Source organism: Homo sapiens, chromosome 1 (genome assembly GCF_000001405.40).
Source record: "Homo sapiens chromosome 1, GRCh38.p14 Primary Assembly".
NCBI lineage: Eukaryota > Metazoa > Chordata > Mammalia > Primates > Hominidae > Homo > Homo sapiens.
In genome coordinates, this window is record NC_000001.11 from 28,159,963 (window position 1) to 28,182,327 (window position 22,365).

Below are 22,365 nucleotides of genomic sequence, written 5' to 3' on the forward strand. Positions count from 1 at the left end.
GCACTTTGGGGAGGCCAAGGCGGAACAATTGCTTGAGCTCAGGAGTTTGAGATCAGCCTGGGCAATATAGCAAGACCTCATCACTCCTAAAAATTTTTAAAAGTTAGCTGGGTGTGGTGGTGCACACCTCTAGTCCCAGTTACTCAGGAAGCTGAGGCAGGAGGATTGCTTGAGCCCAGGAGTTCAAGGCTGCAGTGAGCTGTGATTATGCCACTGCACTCCAGCCTGGGCAACAGAGCCTCAAGACCCTGTCACACACACACAAAAAAGAATTAAAAAAAAAAAAAAGACATTTGGGAAAACTCAAACACAGATGGTATTAAAAAAATGTTTATTTATTTAGGTAGGATAATGATATGGTGGTTGTATTGTTAAATTCCTTAGCTATTAGATGTGCACTCCAACCTGGGCAACACAGCAAGGCTTCATCTCAAAAAAAAAAAAAAAATTCCAGGAAGACCAGGTGTGGTGGCTCATGCCTGTAATACCAGCACTTTGGGGAAACTGAGGAAGGAGGATGGGTCAGGAATTCAAGACCAGCCTGGGCAACATAGCAAGACCTCATCTCTACACCCATCCCCACCTTGCCTCCCCCCGCCACCCCCCACACACACACGAGAATAAAATATTCCAGGAAAATTGTGCCTGCATGCTAATCTCTATTTCAAAGTTGGCTTCCCAGGAACCCAACCTAGGAGATTGTATACTTGGGTCTATCTGACTTCAGAGCCTCCCCAGTCCACACAGGCCCCACAGGAGCCCCAGCAAGAGTAGGCCTCCTCCTTCCAGATACAGGACCAGAATCAGTAAGGGGAGTGCTGGTGGAGTCCCTGCTTGACTCAAACCCGTTGGTGCCACCAGTACCCGTCATCCTGGCTCTTCCTACTTCTGCTGCCTTCTGTTCAATCCCAGGCTCCTGGCCCCCATGTGACTCCCACTCCCTTGGCCCCAACCCAAACTTGGTGCCTATCACTGTATCTTTGCATGAGTAGAACCCTTGAAATCACCCAAAATGTAACCAGCTGATTCTCCTCTGGGCCTGAGAGCTTGCACTTTCATTACTTTATTCATGCTGTTTCCTCTGCCAAGAAATCCTCCCTTCCTTGTCATTGTCTGGATGTTTACTAGAACATTCTTTAAGATTGCTCAGACCTCATTTCCTCCAAGTAGCTCTTTCTAAGACTCCTGGCCTCCTGCACACCCAGCTCCACCCGCGGTCTGGTTAAGTGCCCATTCTTTGGACTTCCGTAGCTCATAGCTCTTTATCCCACTGAAATTGCCTCTATGTGACCTCTCTGCCAACCAGAGGCAGAGACAATGTCCATGCATTCACCTCACAGTTATTGACATCCTTCTGGGTGTTGGGCACTATGTTGGGGAGACTGCAGAAACAAAACAAAGTTCCTGCTCTCGAGGAGCTTACATTCTAGTTGGGGGAAACAGTCAAAAATAAGTGGAGCAACAAATAAGATAATTTCAAATTGTGATGAATTTAATGAAGGAAATAAAAATAGTAACATGAAGATAGGGTAGATGGCTTTTTTTTTATTTTTATTTTTTAATAAATAGAGACAAGGTCTCACTATGTTGCCCAGGTTGGTCTTGAACTCCTGAGCTCAAGTGATCTGCCTGATTTAGTCTCCCAAAGTGCTAGGATTACAGGCATGAGCCACTGCACCCAGCTGGTGGCTGTTTTAAGTAGAATGACCAGGAAAGGCTTCTTGGAGGAGGTGACATACAAACAAAACCACAGACAGCTTTACCATGAAGTCAATGAAGCTTAAGCTTTAAGGCCCTCTCCTAGGCCCTGTATCTAATTGTATATTTGTAATTTGGTATCTTCAAAGGGGGGCCCTTCAAATTGTATAAGCTTTAGTAACCTATAAAATCTGTGTCTACCCCTGGCTGAACTCTAAAAAAGAAAAAAGGAACAAGTAAGAGGACGATCTGGATTATTCCAGCCAGAGAGTATCATGTGCAAAGGGCCTGTAATGGGAATAATTTCATCATGTTCTGAAGTAGGAACAAGAAACTGAAAGGTTGGTGTGGCCCTAGGGGAGTGAGAAATGGGAAGAGTGGGATGTGATCAGAGGACACCTGGCTGCAGATCACTCCTGAGCCATGGTAAGGAGTTGGGATTTTATTCTGTGAGCCTCGGAGAGCTGCTTCAGTGTCGCTAAGCAGGCAAGTAACATGATCGGACTCGCTCTAGCTGTCAGGTAGAGAATAGATGGTAGGGAGCAAGCGTGGAAACAGCAAGAGCATTTTGGAGGTCAGAGATGGTGGTGGCATGGACCAGAAAGTGGCATTTTCAATTCCTCTCCCCGTCCCCTGTACTCAGGGAGCTTGGCTGGGGCAAAAGTTTGGTAAACATTTGTCAGGTGAACAAACACCCAGCAACCGACAGGATTGCCTACTCCCCAGACAGAGCAGCTGCCACACAAGGCAGAGTGAGCCCTCTACAAACTCAGGACTCAAACTGTGGTCCTTGGACGAGCAGCATTGGCACCACCTGCAAGCTTGTTAGAAATGCAGAATCTTGGGTCCCACCCCAGATCTCCTGTATCAGAATCTGTATGTTGGCCGGGCATGGTGGCTCACGCCTGTCATCCCAGCAGTTTGGGAGGCTGAGGCAGGTGGATCACTTGAGGTCAGGAGTTCGAGACCAGCCTGACCAACATAATGAAACCCCCTCTCTAATAAAACTACAAAAATTAGCCAGGCATGGTGGTGGGTGCCTGTAATCCCAGCTACTCTGGAGGCTGAGGCAGGAGAATAATTGCTTGAACCCAGGAGACAGAGGTTGCAGTGAGCCAAGATCACACCACTGCACTCCAGCCTGGGCGACAGAGCGAGACTTTGTCTCCAAAAAAAAAAAAAAAAAAAAAAAGACTCCATATGTTAATAAGATTCCCAGGCGATTCGTGCACGCACCGAAATCTGAGACATGTTGTACCCCAACAACTGCCAGCCACACACTTGCCTGGGCTAACATCTTCCGTGGCTCCCCTGGCCCAGGATCAAGTCTAAGCTCCTTTCCCATCTTATTTTCCACCATTCCCCGCTACTCATTTTCTACTCTTGCTGCACTGAATTTCTCGCTGCTTCCCTAAAAACTCCATTTTTCCTCAAATCTCTTTGCCTTTCCAGCAGCCTGCTTTTGCCTATTGCTTTACCTAGAAAAATCTTACTCATCTTAAGACCTAATCTGAAAAAGCACTTCCTCTGGGATGCCTTCCCTGATCGCCACAGGCAAAATGAGTTGCCTTCTTCTCTGGGTCCCTATGCACTGGGCGCATTCCTCAGTCTAGCACCTGATACAGTATGTTTTAAGTATTAATTTCTGTGGCTGTTTCCTTGTCAGACTGGGCACTTCCTGAGGGCAGGGACTAGATCTTTTTCATCTCTTCAATCCCAGTGTCGGGCACCGAGGAATGAATGGATGAGTGGCCATGCCCTGATGATGGCTCCGAAATCCCCGGCACAAAGGAAGTGTGCACAGTCTCCCCAGGGGAGCTGTACTGGGGTGGAGTGGGTTAGGGAGAACAAGGTCTCTGGAGTCAGAAAGGTCTACAGGTTCATACCTGGCTTACCATTTACTTGCTGTATGACCTGGGGCAAGTGACCTCGCCTCTCTAACCTTCAATGTCTTCATTTGCAAAATCTTACAATCCTAACAATGGTTTCAAAGATAAGTATGCAAAGTGGCTGGAACAGGACCTGAGCCACAAATGACCAAGCCTCCCTCTCCCCACTGGCCCAGCTGCTTGGAGCCAGGGGAGGGGACTGTGGGCCAACATTGACCTAGGGGCTTTGACCTACACACTGGCTTTCCTGCCAGCTCCAGATAGAGCCTCCAGCTAATGGCAACAAAGCTTTCAACAGCTCAGGAAGAGGATGAACATTTGGAAAGAAAAGAAGAGGCTCAGACCACTCAGTTTAACACATGGGCACAGTTCCCTGATGGATCGAGGCTGGGCAGCTGGCCCAGGCACAGCCTTCAGCTGGGGGTGGGGTAGAGAGGCCATAAATATTCATGAGACAGAAGAATTCTGCTGTCTGGATCTGGTACCCTTTTCCCTGTGCAGCATTCGGCCCTCATCCCTGCTGGAAACATTCCCAGTCCCTAGGGAACCTGGAGAAGGGGTTCTCATCCATAGCTGGACAGCCAGAGAGGAGGGACCATCGGGAGATGGACAGAAGGAGGTATGTGCTGGTTGATTTCCCAGGCCAGATTGTGGGTTGGGAAGTTGGGTTCACCAGTCCTGCTAGCTCTTAACATTTGTGGGGCCAGTTGAGGTCAAAAGTACAAAATTCTAAATATTTATAAGCTATAAATAAGATACATCCAAGTTCATCCACAGCTCCTGCACCAGCAGTTCCTTGCAGCCCCGCAGGCCTGAGGGTGCATTCACCAACAGGGCAAGGACTAGAAGTGGTGAAGGCGGGGGAACACCACATTCCAAGTGGGCACACTCTCTTGGATCCAAGTACTCCTTGCTCTGTGGGGATCATGAGGCTGGAGCCCCCCTAATTTCAAGACACTGGGCACCATTTACTGGTATACAGTACATCTTGCCTATGATCATATTTCCTCCTCAGATCATCTTCGTGAGGCTGGTTTTACAAGATACCTAATTTTCTAGGGGTAAAAAGTGAGACTAGAGAAGAAAATAGATTTGTCCATAGTCACACAGCGGGGAAGTGGCAGACTTGGGATTTTGAACTCCAAGGTTCATTCTGACTCTCCTAGAACAAGCTGTGTCCCCTGCTAGAAGCAAACTGCTCCTTGGCCAGCTTGTCCACTCACAGACCTGTCTTACAGCCTGAGAATGGGAGCTCCAGATGCTGTGAGGCCCCAGGAAGAGATGCCTTTGACCTGGGGCCCTGCTTTTACCTTTGTTCCTCAAAGCTGGGAAGGGAATGCGACAAAGGGATGGCATGACCTGCTCTGTATCCATCTGACTCCCGCCTGGTAGGGCGAGAGCTGGGTCAGATCCTGGTTCAACCACTAAGCTCATCCTGTGATTCTGAGTCTCTGTTTCCTCATTTGTAAATGAAGATTTTTATATGGACTAAGAGAAAAGGATATTAAGAAAACAATCTTATTTACAACAGTATTCAAAAAAAATAACATACTTAGAAATAAACTTAACCAGCCAGGCACGATGGCTCATGCCTATAATAATCCCAGCACTCCGGGAGGCTGAGGCAGGCAGATCACTTGAGTTCAGGAGTTTGAGACCAGCCTGGCTAACATGGTGAAACCCCATCTCTACTAAAAATACAAAAATTAGCTGGGCGTGGTGGCGCATGCCTGTAGTCCCAGCTACTCAGGAGGCTGAGCCAGGAGAATCACTTGAACCGGGAGGCGGAGGCTGCAGTGAGCCAAGATCATGCCACTGCACTCCAGCCTGGGCGACAGAGCAAGACTCTGTCTCAAAAAAAAAAAAAAAAAAAAAAGGAAAAAAAAAAAAGAAACAAACTTAACCAAGGAGGCAAAAGACTTGTACATTGAAAACTACAAAACATTGCTGAAGGTCAGGCGCGGTGCCTCACGCCTGTAATCCCAGCACTTTGAGAGGCCGAGACAGGCGGATCACGAGGTCAGGAGATCGAGACCATCCTGGCTAACACAGTGAAACCCCGTCTCTACTAAAAATACAAAAAATTAGCCAGGCGTGGTGGCAGGCGCCTGTAGTCCCAGCTACTCGGGAGGCTGAGGCAGGAGAATGGCATGAACCCAGGAGGCGGAGCTTACAGTGAGCCGAGATCGTGCCACTGCACTCCAGCCTGGGTGACAGAGCGAGACTCTGTCTAGGAAAAAAAAAAATTGCTGAAAGAAATTGAAGATGACACAAATAAATGGAAAGACATCCCAAGTTCATGGATTGGAAGACTTAATATTATTAAAATGTCCATACCACCCAAAGTGATCTACAGGTTCAATGCCATTCTACCAAAATCCCAGTGTAATTTTTACAGAAATTTTTTAAAAATTGTAAAATTCATATGAAACCTCAAAGGACAACAAATAGTCAAAACAATCTTGAGAAAGAAGAACAAAACTGAAAGACAACTCCTGATTTCAAAACATATTACAAAGCTACAATAATCAAAATGGTTTGGACTGGCATAAAGACAGACACATAGATCAATGGGACAGAATAGAGAGACCCAAAATAAACCCTCACATACATAGTCAAATAATCTTTGACAAGAGGACCATGATTACACAATGGGGAAAGAATAGTCCCTTCAACGAAAAGTGCTGGGAAAGATGGATATCCACATGCAGAAGAATGAAGATGGGCTCTTATCTTACACCATATATTATACAAAAATTAACTTAAAATGGATTAAAGACCTAAACATAAGACCTGAAACTATAAAACTCCTCAAAGAAAACATAGGATAAAAGCTTCTTGGCGGGGTGTGGTGGTTCACGCCTGTAATCCCAGCACTTTGTGGGGCTAAGGTGGGCAGATCACCTGAGGTCAGGAGTTGAAGACCAGCCTGGCCAACATGGTGAAATCCCGTCTCTACAAAAATACAAAAAGTAGCCAGGCATGATGGCGGGTGCCTGTAATCCCAGCTACTCGGGAGGCTGAGGCACGAGAATCACTTGGACCAGGGAGGCGGAGGTTGCAGTGAGCCAAGATCGTGCCATTGCACTCCAGCCTGGGAAACAGAGCAAGACTCCATCTCAAAAAAAAAAAAAGCTTCACAACAGGCCAGATACAGTGGCTCATGCCTGTAATCCCAGAACTTTGAGAGGCCTAGGTAGGAGGATTGCTTGAAGCCAGGAGTTTGGGATCAGCCTGGGCAACGTAGCAAGATCTTGTTTCTACACAAAATTTAAAAAATTAGCTGAGCACGATGGCATGCACCTGTAGTCTCAGCTATTCAGAGGCTGAGACAGGAGGATACCTTGAGCCCAGGAGCTCAAGGCTGAAGTGAGCTATGATCATGCCACTGTACTCCAGCCTAGGCAACAGAGGGAGACTCTGTCTCTAAACAACAAAAAAATTAATTAATTAGTTATTTACATTAAAAACAATAAAAAGCCTCATGACATTGGAATGGGTCATAATTTCCTGGATATGACACCAAAAGCACAGGCAACGAAAGCACAAATAAACTATTTTTTGGCAAACTTTAAATAATCTCCATGAAGCAAAGGAAAACAATCAGCAGAGTGGAAAGGCAACCTGTGGATGGGAGAAAAGGCAACCTTTCGGATGGAACCAGATATCAGATAAGGGGTTAATATGCAGAACTCCTACAACTCAGTAACAACAATAACAAAAAATTCAATTTAAAAAATGGGCAAAGAACCTGAATAGACATTTCTCCAAAGACGATATACCAATGACCATAAACATGTGAAAAGATGGCTCAATATCACTGATCATCAGAGAAATGCAAATTGAAACCATAATGCAATATCACCTCAAACCCACTGGAATGGCCACTATCAGTAAAACAGAAATGTGTCAGCAAGGATGTGAGAAATTGGAACTTTCGCATAGTGTTCGTGGGATTCCAAAACGGTGCAGCCACTATGGAAAAGAGTATAGAAGCTCCTCAAAAAACTAAAATTAGAATGATTATATGACCCAACAGTTCCGCTCTGGGTATACTATATATTCAAAAGAACTGAAAACGGGATTTTTTTTTTTTTTTTTTTTTTTTTTTTTTGAGATGGAGCCTTACTCTGTCGCCCAGGCTGGAGTGCAGTGGCACGATCTTGGTTCACTGCAACCTCCGCCTCCCGCGTTCAAGCGGTTCTCAGCCTCCCTAGTAGCTGGGACTACAGGCACCCGCCACCTCGCCCGGCTAATTTTTGTACGTTTAGTAGAGACGAGGTTTCGCCATGTTGGCCAAGCTGGTCTCTAACGCCTGACCTCAAGTGATCCGCCCACCTTGGCCTCTCAAAGTGCTGGGATTACAGGGATGAACCACCACGCCCAACTGAAAACCAGATCTTTTTTTTTTTTTTTTTTTTTTTTTTGAGATGGAGTCTCGCTCTGTAGCGCAGGCTGGAGTGCAGTGGCGCAATCTCGGCTCGCTGCAAGCTCCGCCTCCCGGGTTCACGCCATTCTCCCGCCTCAGTCTCCCGAGTAGCTGGGACTACAGGTGCCCGCCACCACACCCGGCTAATTTTTTTTTTTTTTTTTTTGTATTTTTAGTAGAGAAGGGGTTTCACCGTGTTAGCCAGGATGGTCTCAATCTGCTGACCTCGTGATCCGCCCTCCTCGGCCACCCAAAGTGCTGGGATTACAGGCGTGAGCCACCGCGCCCGGCAGAAAACAGGATCTTGAAAAGACATTTGCACATTCATATTCATAGCAACATTATTCACAATCATCAAGCGTGGAAACACCTAACATGTCCATGGACAGATGAATGGATAAGCAAAATGTGGTATATACATACAATGGAATATTACTCAGCCTTACAAAGGAAGAAAATTCTGACACATGTTACAACATGGATGAATCTTGAAGACATTTCTGCTAAGTGAAATAAGCCAGCTCACAGGAAGACAAATACTATATGATTCCACTTATTATATGAGACATTTAAAGTAATCAAACGCATAGAACCAAAAGTAGAACGGTGGTTGCCAGGGGCTGGGAGGAGGGGAAAATAGAGAGATGTTCAACAGATGTAGAGTTTCAGTCATGCAAGATGAAAACATTCTTTTTTGTTTGTTTGTTTGAAATGAAGTCTCACTCTGTCACCCAGGCTGGAGTGCTGTGGCATGATATTGGTTCACCACAACCTCCGCCTCCTGGGTTCAAGCGATTCTCCTGCCTCAGCCTCCCGAGTAGCTGGGATTACAGGCATGCACCACCACACCCAGCTAATTTTGTATTTTTGGTAGAGACGGGGTTTCAACATGTTGACCAGGATAGTCTCGAACTCCTGACCTCAAGCGATCCACCCTCATTGACCTCCCAAAGTGCTGGGATTACCAGCATGAGCCACTGCGCCCAGCCAAGTTGAAAACATTCTATTGGCACTCGCAGGATTTAAAAAAAGAAAAGAAAAGAAAAGAAAACATTCTAGAGATCTATTATACAACAATGTGAATATAGGTAGCATGACTGAACTATACACTTTAAAAATGTTAACAGGGACCAGGCACATGGCTGGAATTACGTGGCCTGTAATTCCAGCACTTTGGGAGGCCAAAATGAGTGGATCACTTGAGCCCAGGAGTTTGAGACCAGTCTGGACAACATAGCAACACCCCAGTCTCTATAAAATAAATTTTTCAAAATGCATGCTAAGAGAGTAAATTTATGTTACGGTTTTCACCACAGTAAAAAAAAAAAAAAAATCAATGGGCCTAAGAGACGACAAATTTGAAAGTACATTGTGTATTTTTAAGTTAGAGTCATATGACTCAGTTTATGACTTAAAAGCTATGCAACCTTTGGTAAAACTGCTTGCCGCCTTCGGGCCTCATTTGTAAACCACATCTCTTTCATCAAGCGAAATAAAGGATGTACAGTATTTAGAGAACAGTGGTTAAGAGCACAGACTCTGGAGTCAGACTCTGTAGTCAGACAAACCTGGGTTCAGATCTTACCTCTCTCACTTCCTACCACAGAACCACAGCCAAGCATGTCCTCCCTCTGATTCTCAGGTCCCTCACTGAAAATGGAGCTGATAATACCCAGGCACATACCTCTCCAGAGTGGTGTGAAGAGTCAATGAAATAATGTGTATAAAGTCCTTATCAGGGCTGGGCGCAGTGGCTCATACCTGTAATCCCAGCACTTTGGGAGGCCAAGGCGGGCAGATCACTTGAGGTAAGGAGTTCGAGACCAGCCTAGCCAACATGGTGAAACCCTATCTCTACTAAAAATACAAAAATTAACCAGGCATGGTGGTGCATGCCTGTAATCCCAGCTACTCGGGAGGCCGAGGCAGGGGAATCACTTGAACCCAGGAGGCAGAGATTGCAGTGAGCCAAGATGACGCCATTGCACTGGAGTCTGGGCGACAGAGCGAGACTCCATCTCAAAAAAAAAAAAAAAAGAAGATGCCTGGTCTGGTCTACAGTGAGAGCTCATTGAATGTTGGCTATTGTTACTCTTACTTCCCTACCCCAGACAGAGTTGGAAATTCCACCTCAAGTTCCCATAACAATCTATCACATTGCATTATCATAGCTGTTGATTTCTCTCTCCTTTTGGACTGGGAATTCCCAAGGGCCAAGGCTTCTGGCATATCACCAATACCCATCACAGGGCCTCCTACATAGCAAACACATGAGAAATACTGACTAAATAGACAGGTGAGCCTCTGTACACACACAGTCACAGTGTCCCTCACTCTTCGCTTCCAAACTCTCACACCCCAGCTCTAGCCACTCCCAGCTCTTAGATTCGCTGGGGCCAGTCCCACTTTCCTCATCTATAAAATGGGAATAGCATCAACATTGAGGCTGGAAAGGTGGCCCACATCTATAATGCCAGCACTTTGAGAGGCTGAGGTAAGAGAATTGCTTGAGGTCAGGAGTTTAAGACCAGCCTGAGCAACATAACCAAATTTTGTCTCTACAAAATTAAAAATTAAAAAAAAAATTAGCCAGGCATGGTGGCACATGCCTGCAGTCCTAGCTACTATGGAGGCTGAGGCTGCAGGATCACTTGGGTCCATTACAGTAAGCTATGATCATACCACTGCACTCCAGCCTGGGCAACAGAGCAAGACCCTATCTCTTAAAAATAAAAATAAGGGCCCGGCGCGGTGGCTCACGCCTGTAATCCCAGCACTTTGGGAGGCCAAGGCGGGCGGATCACAAGATCAGGAGATCGAGACCATCCTGGCTAACACGGTAAAACCCTGTCTCTACTAAAAATACAAAAAATTAGCTGGGCAAGGTGGTGGGCGCCTGTAGTCCCAGCTATTCGGGAGGCTGAGGCAGGAGAATGGCGTGAACCCGGGGTGCAGAGTCTGCAGTGAGCCAAGATTGTGCCACTGCACTCCAGCCTGGGCAACAGCGAGACTCCATCTCAAAAAATAAATAAAAATAATAAATAAATAATTAATACAAATTAGGCTGGGTGGGGTGGCTCACACCTGTAATCCCAGCACTCTGGGAGGCCGAGGCAGGCAGATCACCTGAGGTCAGGAGTTCAAGACTGGCCTGGCCAACATGACGAAACCCCATATCTACTAAAAATACAAAAATTAGCTGGGTGTGGTGGCGCACATCTGTAATCCCAGCTACATGGGAGGCTGAGGCAGAAGAACCACTTGAACCCGGGAGGGGGAAGTTTCAGTGAACTGAGATTGTGCCACTGCACTCCAGCCTGGGTGACAGACCGAGACTCCATCTCAAAAAAAAAAAAAAACTTGACCTCACAGGATAGCCCTGATGTTGAAGACAGACAACCTCTACAGTGCTAGGCATATAGAAGGTACTCAATACATGAGTTACTTCCTGTTCTGACATGCCCTGTTGCTTGATATTTGTGCCCTGACCTGGCCGTGCCGACCACACCCTCTAATGTTACCTCTCACAGAGTGGTTTCAATACCATTTCTCCAAGATGCAGAAGGATTTGAGCGACGAATTAAGGGAGGAGAAATCCTGACCTCTGGGGAATTCTGTGCCAGGCTCCCTACAATTCCCAGCGCAAGGGACCATGCACATTTATTGGCTGATGAATGAAGCACCATGTCTGGGAGAGGTTACGGACAGGGTCTAGGGCACGAGGGATGAGGATGATCTGGGTACCAGTCAGAGTTACCCAGTGTTCCTTCTCATTGGGGACCTCATCCTGGCCCCAGATATGTATATTACATTGAGGAGACTCAGCCTCTGCTCAGTTGGCCTAGGAAACCCCAAGTCTGGCCTGGGTCTCTCCTCCTGGCTCCCAGATACCCAGGTGGTATCTGTTTGTGAGTTACCCTATCCAATTTTGCTTCCAGGACAGGGCCAGGAAGAGGGAGGGAGGAACCATCTCCTCTGGGCTGCCCCAGCACTGGGCACATCATGCCTCTGTTATGCCTCTGGTTTTTGTGTGTGTGTTGCGGGGGTGGGGGGTTGAGACTGAATCTCAGTCTATCACCTAGGCTGGAGTGCAATGATGCAATCTCAGCTTACTGCAACCTCCGCCTCCCAGGTTCAAGCGATCCTCATGTGTCAGCCTTCCAAGTAGCTGGGATTACAAGCGCATGCCACCATGCCTGGCTAATTTTTATATTTTTAGTAGAGACAGGTTTTCACCATGCTGGCCAGGCTGGTCTCAAACTCCTGATCTCAGGTGATCCACCCACCTCAACATCCCAAAGTGCTGGGATTACAGGCATGAGCCACCGCACACAGCCATGCCTCTGTTATACCAGGAATCACGCTGACATCTTCCCAGCCTGGGAGTTCCTGAGTCCTGCTGGTGTCCTCGTGGCCAGTCCAGGACCCCGTCCAGGGAAAAAAGCAGGGCTGGGCACAGGCCCTGGCGTCACACAGACCTGAGTCTGCACCTGGGTCTGTTTCTTCCTTGCTGCGTGATCCTTGGCTCTCCCAGCCTCCTTTTCTTCATCTGCAAAATGATGGTAATAAAACCTTCCTCACGGGGTGGTTGTGAGAGCTGAGTGAAGCAATTTACTCAATAACTGTGAACTCCCTTCCCTGCTGTCCTCAGAAAATGTTTGTTGAATAAGTGAATAAAGAAGCAACCAAACTGGCCATGCACTAAGCCAGCTACACATTCTCTCCTAGAAGCAACCGGGGTTAGCCGGAGAGAAAGCATAGGAACCGAAACCAGGAGATGTGGGCTCTGGCCTCAGCTGTGCCACTCACCCACATATCTTGACTGAGCCTCATTCCAGCTCTGAGCCTTGGGGTTTTTATCTGCAAAATGCGGTGCCTGTGCCTCGCTTATCTCAAAGCATTGTTGTAAAAAAAAAAGGAAGTGAGATTATTGGTGGTGACAGTTTTGGGTAAACAGTAAAGCACTTGGTACATTGAAATGGACTTTATGAACTGTGAAAGGTAGTGCAGGCTGGGTGCAGTGGCTCACGCCTGTAATCCCAGCGCTTTGGGAAGCCAAGGCAGGAGATGGCTTGAGGCCAGAAGTTCAAGACCAGCCTGGGAAACATAGCAAGATCCCGTTTCCACAAAAAAAAAAAAAAAAAAAAAAAGTTTTTTAAATTAGCCAGGCATGGTGGCATGCGCCTGTAGTCCTGGCTACTTGGGTGGCTAAAGCTGGAGGATAGCTTGAGACCAGGAGTTCAAGGCTGCAGTGAGTCACGATCATGCCACTGCTCTTCAGCCTGGGTGACAGAGCAAGACTGTGTCTCTTAAAAAAAAAGGGGGGGGGGTGTGCGGGGGGTGTAGGCCAGGCATGGTGGCTCACATCTGTAATCCCAGCACTTTGGGAGGCCAAGGCAGGCGGATTGCTTGAGCACGGGAGTTCAAGACTAGCCTGGGCATCATGTCAAACCCCACCTCTACAAAAAACAAACAAACAAACAAAACAAAACAAAAACAAAAACAAAAACAAAAACACAAAAATTAATCAGGCAAGATGGTGTGCACCTACAGTATCAGCTACTCGAGAGACTGAGGTGGGAGGACTGCTTGAGCCCAGGAGATCGAGGCTGCAGTGAGGTGTGATCACGCCACTGCATTCCAGCCTGCGTGACAGAGCAAGACTCTGTCTCAAAAGAAAAAAAAAAAGAGGAGGGGGGGCGGGGTATGCACAAATTTGGTTTTGACATGCTTCTCCCATTAGCCAGCCAAGCTCAACTCCAAACCCAGGCCCTGAAGATCTCCCACCTACAGAACCAAGGGGGTGGGGAGGGGTGGCTGAGTGGTGATCCTCCCCCTGCATATTCTGTCTCTCTCTCACACACAAACACACAAACAAATACACACACAGAATCTGGCTGTGATTCCCCTCGGCCAAAGACACACAGAGGCATATCAGCCTCTCAGCTGGCTTTGCTGGCCATCTGCTCCTGGGAGGGGAGCTGTCTGGCTGGAGCAGGCCACATGCAGCCCGGATATGCTCCCGGCCCATCATTCCAGATACATGTAGACATAGCCAGAGCCAGCTCCCTGTCCACCCCACATAACCACAGACACACATGCACACACAAAGACACACCAGAGGCTTCTCCCCGCTCTCATCATGCTGTCAAGGAGCCCAAGAGGGGGTGGTCAGAGAGGGGGCTGCAGCAGGGTCCCAGCACTTGCCCTTTGGGAGCTGGCTCTGCTCCCGACCCAGACACACACCCCTAGGCCCATCAAGGGGTGCTGCCGGCTCCTGCTCCACTGTTGCCCTCTCTGAGGTCCAAGCCTCCACCCATCTAGGGGATCAGAACAGGAAAGTGGGGGATGCCACCAAGAAAGAGAATGCCATCCTCTTCAACAAGGCCTCCTTCACAGGCCTGGGGTGGGAAGTGGGGAATCTCTGCTCCCTGTAAAAGGACAATAAGATCCCAGCCTCTCCTCATACCTGCTTCCCACCACCAGTCAGAGAAAACTCAGTCCTGTAGGCACATTTTGTCACTGATAGCATAAACTGTGAATTCCTTACTCCTTCAATGACCAGATGGGGAAACTGAGGCCCGGAGATGAGAAAGGATTTTCCCAAGGTGAACACAGTGTCAGGGGCAGAGCTGGGACCAGATACTGGGCCTCTGGCTCACCGTCCGTTCCCTTCCAACTGCAAAAACCGCTTCATCATTCATCTGTCCTGTGCATATTCTAAGCATATGCTATGTTGCAAACCCTGTGCTAAGGATAAAGGATACAACAGTGAACAAAACAGTTTCCTCATCCCTAAGGCGTTTAACAGCAGGAATCCCAGAGTCAGCATTAGAGGGAATTCATCAGTCCCCTTTGCGCAGCATTTTCCAATTGACAAAGCACTTCCCCATCCCAACTCTTACTTCATCCTCCCTGCAAACTCACAGATCAGTGGTTTGTTTGTTTTGTTTTGTTTTGTTTTTTGAGACGGAGTCTCGCTCTGTTGCCCAGGCTGGAGTGCGATGGCGCCATCTCAGCTCACTGCAACCTCCGCCTCCCAGGTTCAAGCAATTCTCCTGCCTCAGCCTCCCGAGTAGCACCCGCCACCACGCCCAGCTAATTTTTGTATTTTTAGTAGAGATGGGGTTTCACCATGTTCGCCAGGATGGTCTCCATCTCTTGACCTCGTGATCTACCCGCCTCGGCCTCCTAAAGTGCTGGGATTACAGACGTGAGCCACCATGCCCGGCCCACAGAGGTCAGTATTTTAACCTGCAATCTGCAAAGGAGGAAAGTGGAACTTCCGAACAACTCAAGGCCCCGGCTTGTCAGCAGGAGCTGAGATCGAAACCCCGGATGCCCACCTGAGGCCCAGGACCCAGTCATCTAAGGGGCTGAACTCTTTCTCCGGCGGTTTGTCAGCACCTAAAGATAGTGGTGTCTCTTTTGCTTCTCTAGCACTCCCCAACACACCTCCCACCCCTACCGCCTCCCCCAACACACACACCACCCCAAACACCTGGAACACAGCTGGGTATTCAGTCAGAGCTAAAGGAGAGCAGCCAGAGGTGTGGGGAGAGAGCCTGCTGGTTCTGTCATATTTCACAAGTGAGTGAGTGCACAGCCCCATGTCTGGACCTCCTGCAAGCAGAGGACGGTGGGTGCCAGCCTGGGCCCTGTCCCCAGCACCTGGGACCTGATAGGGGCTATTGTTTGTGGGCTTGGCCCTGTGTATAAGAACCTGGTTATTTTCAGCACCCCCTTCCCCACCCCGCAAACCTAGCATTTAGTGAGTTCCTAAGTACCCCGCCCTGTACCAGATCCTTTATATGACCCGACAATTCTGTGGGGGAGATGGGATTATCATTATTTGACAATTTAGAAAACTGCACAGAGATGGAGCGTAACTTGGCCAAGACCACACAGCTAGTCAAGTAGATGTCATTTGGCTCCCTGAGATCCAAGCTGCCCCCATCACCACCATCACCACCTCCCAGTAGGGTCTCTGGGGTCAGCACTGCCACCATCACCACCATCAACACCTCCCAGTGGGATCTCTGGGGTCAGCACTGCCCCAGCCTCAGAAAAGCCAAACTTGGGTGTTGGGTTCTCCAGGAATGTTTGGACACTAGAAGTTATTTCTAAACATGAGACTCTGGGCCTGAGAAAGGTGCCAGAAAAATCCCTTAAAAACAGAAGCAGCCGAGCACAGTGACTCAAGCCTGCAATCCCAGCACTTTGGGAGGCCGAGGCAGGCTGATTGCTTGAGCCCAGGAGTTAGAGACCAGTCTGGGCAACAAGGCAAGACCTCGTCTCCACAAAAAATACAAAAATTAGCCAGGCGTGGTAGAGCATGCCTCTAGTCCCAGATACTCGGGAGGCTGAAGTGGGAGGATCACCTGAGCCTGGCAGGTCCAGGCTGCAGCGAGCCATGATCGCGCCACTGCACTTCTGCCTGGACAACAGAGTGAGAGACCCTGTCTCAAAAAAAAAAAAAAAAAAAAAGAAAAGAAAAGAAATAGAAGCACCCATCTGCTTAGGTGCAGCCTGGGGGCATGACCTTGGTTTGCCTCCTGAGGACATTTTTATATGCCTCCCCCTTGCCCAGCAGGGGCCAGGATTCCCCCTTACCTGTAGCAGGGGCAGCGGCTTCAGCTGCAGTGACCGTGTGTCTCTGTCTGGGTCCTGGCCCCAGCCTCAGCCTCTATGCTGTCTGGCAATTGCAGAAGTGAAGAAACAGAGCGTATCACTACCAAGTCACCCCTGGGAGGAAATGCTGTGGCCCTAGGGCCTCTCAAGGGGTACCACAGGAACTTCCAAGCTGGGCCGCCAGGACCTGGGCACTGCACAGAGGCTTCTCAAAGAGCGAGGGATGGGGTGGGGTGTAGACAGCGCCCGAGGCCAGGAGCTAAGGTGAGAAAGAGGAAAAGCAAGAGAGAGAAAGCAAGTGCATGTACTCAAGAGAGCGAAAAAGGGAGCATGAGAGTGAGAAAGAGGAGGGAGGAGAGATGAGGGACCAGGAAAATCAAAGGAGAAAGGGAGGAGGCAGGAGGGAGTCGGGAAAAAAAATGAGAGGGCGGAGGAATGGATGGAGGGAGCGAGGCTCAGGGAAAAAGACAGATGTAAACACCGGGAGAGATGAGAGGAACAAGGAGATTCAGGGACAAAGACAAGGTAAGATCCAAGACAAAAGACGAGATGACAAGACACAGACAGCGAGCATGTGCCTGTGCACATTTGGGTCTGTGCGTCTCTGGATGGGGGTGAGAGAGAAAATAAAAGAAGGGGAGTGGAGGAAAGAGAATGCCCGCTGGGATATAAAGTGGAGGGAGAAGAGAGGAGCTCGGAAGAGCCACTGTGGTCAGGGGCATGACAGGGCAGGGCCTCCCTGGAGACCAAGAAACATTGAGCCCAGAAACCCCATGGGAACAGATCTGTGGGGGTGGAGGTGGAAGCTCCCTGAGACCGTGTTTTGTAGAGATAGGGTCTCCCTGTTTTGCCTAGGTTGGTCTCAAACTCCTGGGCTCAAGGGATCCTTCCGCCTCAGCTTCCCAAAGTGTTGGGATTACAGGCATGAGCCACTGAGCCTGGCCCTGTGTTTGTTTTTTTGTTCATGCGGTTGATTTCTGGAGAGAACTGGCTCCATTGTCCAGTAGAATGTTCTATATTCTGGACTTGGTTGATTGCTTCCTTGTGAGGTCCTTTAATCTATTCCTCTGTCTCCTGTATTTTCTGAAAACAGGTTTGATTAGATTCAAATTTGGACATACTTTCTTCTTTTTTTTTTTCACCCAGGCTGGTGTGGGTTGGCAGCGTATGAGTTCATGGGAGCATGCAGGTGAAGAGGGGTGGACAATCGATGGTGAATGCACATGAATCTCTGAGTGTAGGTGTGAGGGTATGTGTGAAAGTGAGCTGGTGGGGGCATCCCGTGTGCATAAGTGAGAGGTGAGCCAGAGTATCTGCCTCAGTTTCCAGTCCATTTACCCACTCATTCCTTCAACCAACCAACAAGCACCATCTGAGCACCCCCAGGCACCAGGCACTGGGGTGGACCCTGTCTAAAGAAGCAAGTCCCTCAGATACATCAGCCGACCCAACAACCTCCTACACAGAGAGGGAAACTGAGGTCCCGACAGGACCAGGGTCCCACAGCAAGGCAGGTATAAGGAGAGTCGGGGGCCTGCATCAGCATCCAGTCTCAGCTCCGCTCTGGGTATCTGGGCCAGGCTCCTCCTCCTAATGTCCCTTATCAAAGCCAAAAATGGCTCTCAAAGGACAAAACACTTTTTTTATTTTTTTATTTTTTATTTTTTTTGAGACAGAGTCTCACTCTGTCTCCCAGGCTGGAGTGCAGTGATGCAATCTCAGCTCACTGCAACCTCTGCCTCCCACTTTCAAGGGATTCTCCTGCCTCAGCCTCTGGAGTAGCTGAGATTACAGGCAAGCACTGCCACGCCCGGCTAATTTTTGTCTTTTTAGTAGAGACGGGGTTTCACCATGTTAGCCAGGCTGGTTTTGAACTCCTGACCTCCAATGATCTGCCCACCTCAGCCTCCCAAAGTGCCAGGATTACAGGCATGACCCACCGCGCCTGGCCAGAACAAACCACTTTTAACATTTGCCTCAGTCATGTAGAACTAGAGCCAAGCATCTGCCCCCTCCTCCACCTCCAGCCCCCCATCACACACAGGCAGACACACTCAGACCACATAACACTTGCACACTCGCATACACTCAGCGCCTACTCTCATGCGAAGATGCCCACTCACACTGTGTTCCTCCACTCACCTGCACACTCACGCCCAGTCTCCCCTCACTCACACCTGCCAGGCTCATCTCCTTCCTCGAGTTCATGCGTCCATACTGCTCCACACTCACGCACCGCACACACTCTCCCAATCCCCATGTCCTGCCAGGGACACTGAAACAGGCTCAGGCCAAGCACTTTGGGAGACCAAGGCAGGAGGATTGCTGAGCCCAGGAGTTCGAGACCAGCCTGGGCAATATAGTGAGACCCCATCTTCATATTTAAAACAAAAAAAAAAGAAAAGAAACAGGCTCAGTTTGATCATTTCTTCTTGTCTCCCTTACAGGCTTTTTGAGCCTCGAGTGCCCTGAAATATGAGGACATGGTCTGTACATGAACTTAGCCTTCATGCAAACTGCTCACCTAAAAGGCAAGGCCTCAACTCTGCTCCCCAGCCCAGATCCTTGGTTCCAAAACAGTTTCACCTCAGCCCTCCTCCAGCCACCACCCTCCAGGAGGGACAGCAAGCCTGGGAGGGACCTCCGGGATCAACCAGCCTCCATTGCCCAGAGTCTCCAGGACGCCTGGCTCAAGGTCCGGAACTGTTGGCTCGGCCTGCCTTCCAGTATAGTCCCTTCCATGCGCGCATGTGGCAACTGCAGATCAGCACCTCTTTTGAGATTATCAATAAGCAGGGTAGGTAGGTAGATATTACTATCAATATTTTACAAATGAGGAAACTGAGTTCAACTCTTTCTCTCACACCCCACATCCATTCTGTTAGCAAATTATGTTGGCTCCACTTGAAAATATGTCCAGATTTGGCCGGGCACAGTGACTCACGCCTGTAATCCCAGCACTTTGGGATGCTGAGGCGGGCAGATCACTTGAGGTCAGGAATTCAAGACCAGCCTGGCCAATACGGTGAAACCCTGTCTCTACTAAAAATAATAATAATTAAAAAAAGAGCCAGGCATGGTGGCACACACCTGCTGATTACCGCTGGTAATCCCAGTGGCTTGGGAGGTTGAGGCATGAGAATTGCTTGAACCCAGGAGGCGGAGGTTGCAGTGAGCCAAGATGGTGCCACTGCACTCCAGCCTGGGTGGAAAAAAAAAAAGAAAATATGTCCAAATTTGAATCTAATCAAGCCTTTAGGTCTAACCTCAGTTTTCAGAAAATATAGGGGACAGAGGAATAAATTAAAGGACCTCATAAGGAAGCAATCAACCAATTCCAAAATATAGAACATTCTACTGGACAATGGAGCCAGTTCTCTCCAGAAATCAACCGCTTGAACACAAAAACAAACAGAGGGCCAGGCTCAGTGGCTCATGCCTGTAATCCCAACACTTTGGGAAGCTGAGGCGGAAGGATCCCCTGAGCCCAGGAGTTTGAGACCAACCTGGGCAAAACAGGGAGACCCTGTCTCTACAAAACAAAACAAAAGTTAAAAATAAAATGAAATAAAAGCACAAAAGAAACAGGGAGGAGATTGTTCCAGATTAAAAGAGATTTAAGAGGATGGACATGGTGGCTCACGCCTGTAATCCCAACTACCCGGGAGGCTGAGGCAGGAGAATTGCCTGAACCCGGGAGGCAGAGGTTGCAGTGAGCCAAGATCAAGCCACTGCTCTCCACCCTGGGCGACAGAGCAAGACTCTGTCTCAAAATATATATATATAAAAAAGAAGTTGCAGCTGAGCCTGCAACAGGCAGGGAGGGAACCAGGAAATAAATACTCAAACCTTTCTCTTCTCCCATCCTCTGACATCTTATCGGCACCGCCAGTTGGCTGACCCCAACCAGAAACAAAGGAACCATTAATGTGGTCCATACAGGGCAGCCTCCGGGGCAAGAGGTGGGTGAAGAAGGGTGGAGTGTACTCTGGGCATGCATCACCAATCCCACAGTGGGTCTGGAGGAGAAAGCAGAAGATATCCAGGACAGACATACCTGAGAAAATCACAGAAACTGGTATATGGACAGGATTTTAGATAATTCTAAGGAATTATTGATAATAGCATTAAGAGATAATGGTGTTGCAGTTATAAACAAAATGTCCATATATGTGGAATTTGCTTTAAAATATTACAGCAAAATAAGAAGAAAGGAAGGAGAGAGAAAGTAAAGAAAAAGAGAAGAAATAAAGAAGGATGGATACAGAGTATGAAGAAAAAAGAAAGGAAGAGGAATGAAGGGAGAGAGGGGAGAAATAGAAAATGTGGCAAAATATTTATTTTATTGATTGATTGATTTTTATTTATTTATTTTTTTGAGATGGAGTCTCACTCTGTCTCCCAAGTTGGAGTGCAGTGGCGCGATCTCAGTCTCACTGTGTTGTCCAGGCTGATCTCAAACCCCTGACCTGAAGCAATCCGCCCTCCTCCGCCTTCCAAAGTGCTGGGATTACAGGTGTGAGCACCACGCCCGGTCGTGTGTTATTTGAAACCACTAAGTTTGTGGTAACTTCTTATAGCAGCCACAGGAAACTACCACAAGGATTTCTTGTACTCTTCCTTCTCTTTTTGTGTATGTTTGAAAACTTTTCTATGAAGTTGTGTTTGAGCACGTACAATTCACAACACCACCTATAAAACAGTCTTGCCAAGGAAACCGAAACAGAATCAGCAAGTTTAATCACTAGTTTACTCCTGTTACAGAAGGAAACAGATCATAGGGATGCACTCAACAAACGCACATGATAAGAAACATATGGAACACACAACCTGCTTTCTTCAATAAATAAATTCTAGCCGGGCGCGGTGGCTCACGCCTGTAATCTCAGTACTTTGGGAGGCTGAGGCGGGCGGATCACCTGAGGTCAGCAGTTCAAGACCAGCCTCAACATGGAGAAACCCCGTCTCTATTAAAAATACAAAATTGCCGGGCATAGTGGTGCATGCCTGTAATCTCAGCTACTCGGGAGGCTGAGGCAGGAGAATTGCTTGAACCTGGGAGGCGGAGGTTGCGGTGAGCCGAGATTGCACCATTGCACTCCAGCCTGGGCAACAAGAGCGAAACTCCATCTCAAAAAAATAAAAATAAATAAATAAATAAATTCTAAACAAGAAAAAAAGATATAGGGAGAAACTATTGATTAAAAGATAATTAAGAGGTCAAGCATAGGAGCTCATGCCTATAATCCCAGCACCTTGAGAGGCCGAAGTGAGAGGATCACTTGACACAGGAGTTTGAGACCAGCCTGGGCAACACAGTGAGAACTCACCTCTAAATAAATTAACTACTTAAATAAAGAGAATTAAGAGACATAGCAACCAATTGCTACATGAATCTTCTCGGATCCTGATTCAAACAAAAGGGAAAAAAAAGAAAGAAATTGGGCCAGGCGCAGTGGCTCATGCCTGTAATCCCAGCACTTTGGGAGGCCGAGGTGGGTGGATCACTTGAAGTCAGGAGTTCGAGACCAGCCTGGCCAACATGGTGAAACCCCGTCTGTACTAAGAATACTAAAATTAGCTTGGCATAGTGGCACATGCCTGTAATTCCAACTACTCAGGAGGGTGAGGCAGGAGAATCGCTTGAACCTGGGAGGCAGAGATTTCAGTGAGCCAAGATTGCACCACTGCACTGCAGTCTGAGTGACAGAGTGAGAC

General features: G+C 48.1%; 1 protein-coding gene across 4 annotated transcripts in view, besides 4 other annotated features; it reads right to left on the reverse strand.

Annotated features, from left to right (window-relative positions):
• PTAFR (platelet activating factor receptor) overlaps window positions 1–22,365 on the reverse strand; it is a 46,691-nt gene that overhangs the window by 12,797 nt on the left and 11,529 nt on the right. Inside the window, exons 1-2 of one of the 4 annotated variants that reach the window (NM_001164723.3) lie at window positions 16,630–16,728; window positions 12,495–12,565 (exon numbers count right to left, since the gene is read on the reverse strand). The exons of 1 other annotated variant lie outside the window; for it this stretch is intronic. The gene's annotated coding sequence lies outside the window, so the exon portion shown is untranslated. Of the gene's footprint in view, window positions 1–12,494; window positions 12,566–16,629; window positions 16,729–22,365 lie in introns of those variants that run through there. 2 more of the 4 variants (NM_001164721.2, NM_000952.5) reach the window with 2 other exon arrangements.
• Window positions 11,203–11,252: an enhancer, noted in NCBI's record as "active region_586". NCBI's record gives its function as "activates an Ori minimal core promoter by ATAC-STARR-seq in GM12878 lymphoblastoid cells {active_cell/tissue: GM12878}" and the evidence as "EXISTENCE:reporter gene assay evidence [ECO:0000049][PMID:35858748]".
• Window positions 11,293–11,402: an enhancer, noted in NCBI's record as "active region_587". NCBI's record gives its function as "activates an Ori minimal core promoter by ATAC-STARR-seq in GM12878 lymphoblastoid cells {active_cell/tissue: GM12878}" and the evidence as "EXISTENCE:reporter gene assay evidence [ECO:0000049][PMID:35858748]".
• Window positions 11,443–11,512: an enhancer, noted in NCBI's record as "active region_588". NCBI's record gives its function as "activates an Ori minimal core promoter by ATAC-STARR-seq in GM12878 lymphoblastoid cells {active_cell/tissue: GM12878}" and the evidence as "EXISTENCE:reporter gene assay evidence [ECO:0000049][PMID:35858748]".
• Window positions 11,523–11,572: an enhancer, noted in NCBI's record as "active region_589". NCBI's record gives its function as "activates an Ori minimal core promoter by ATAC-STARR-seq in GM12878 lymphoblastoid cells {active_cell/tissue: GM12878}" and the evidence as "EXISTENCE:reporter gene assay evidence [ECO:0000049][PMID:35858748]".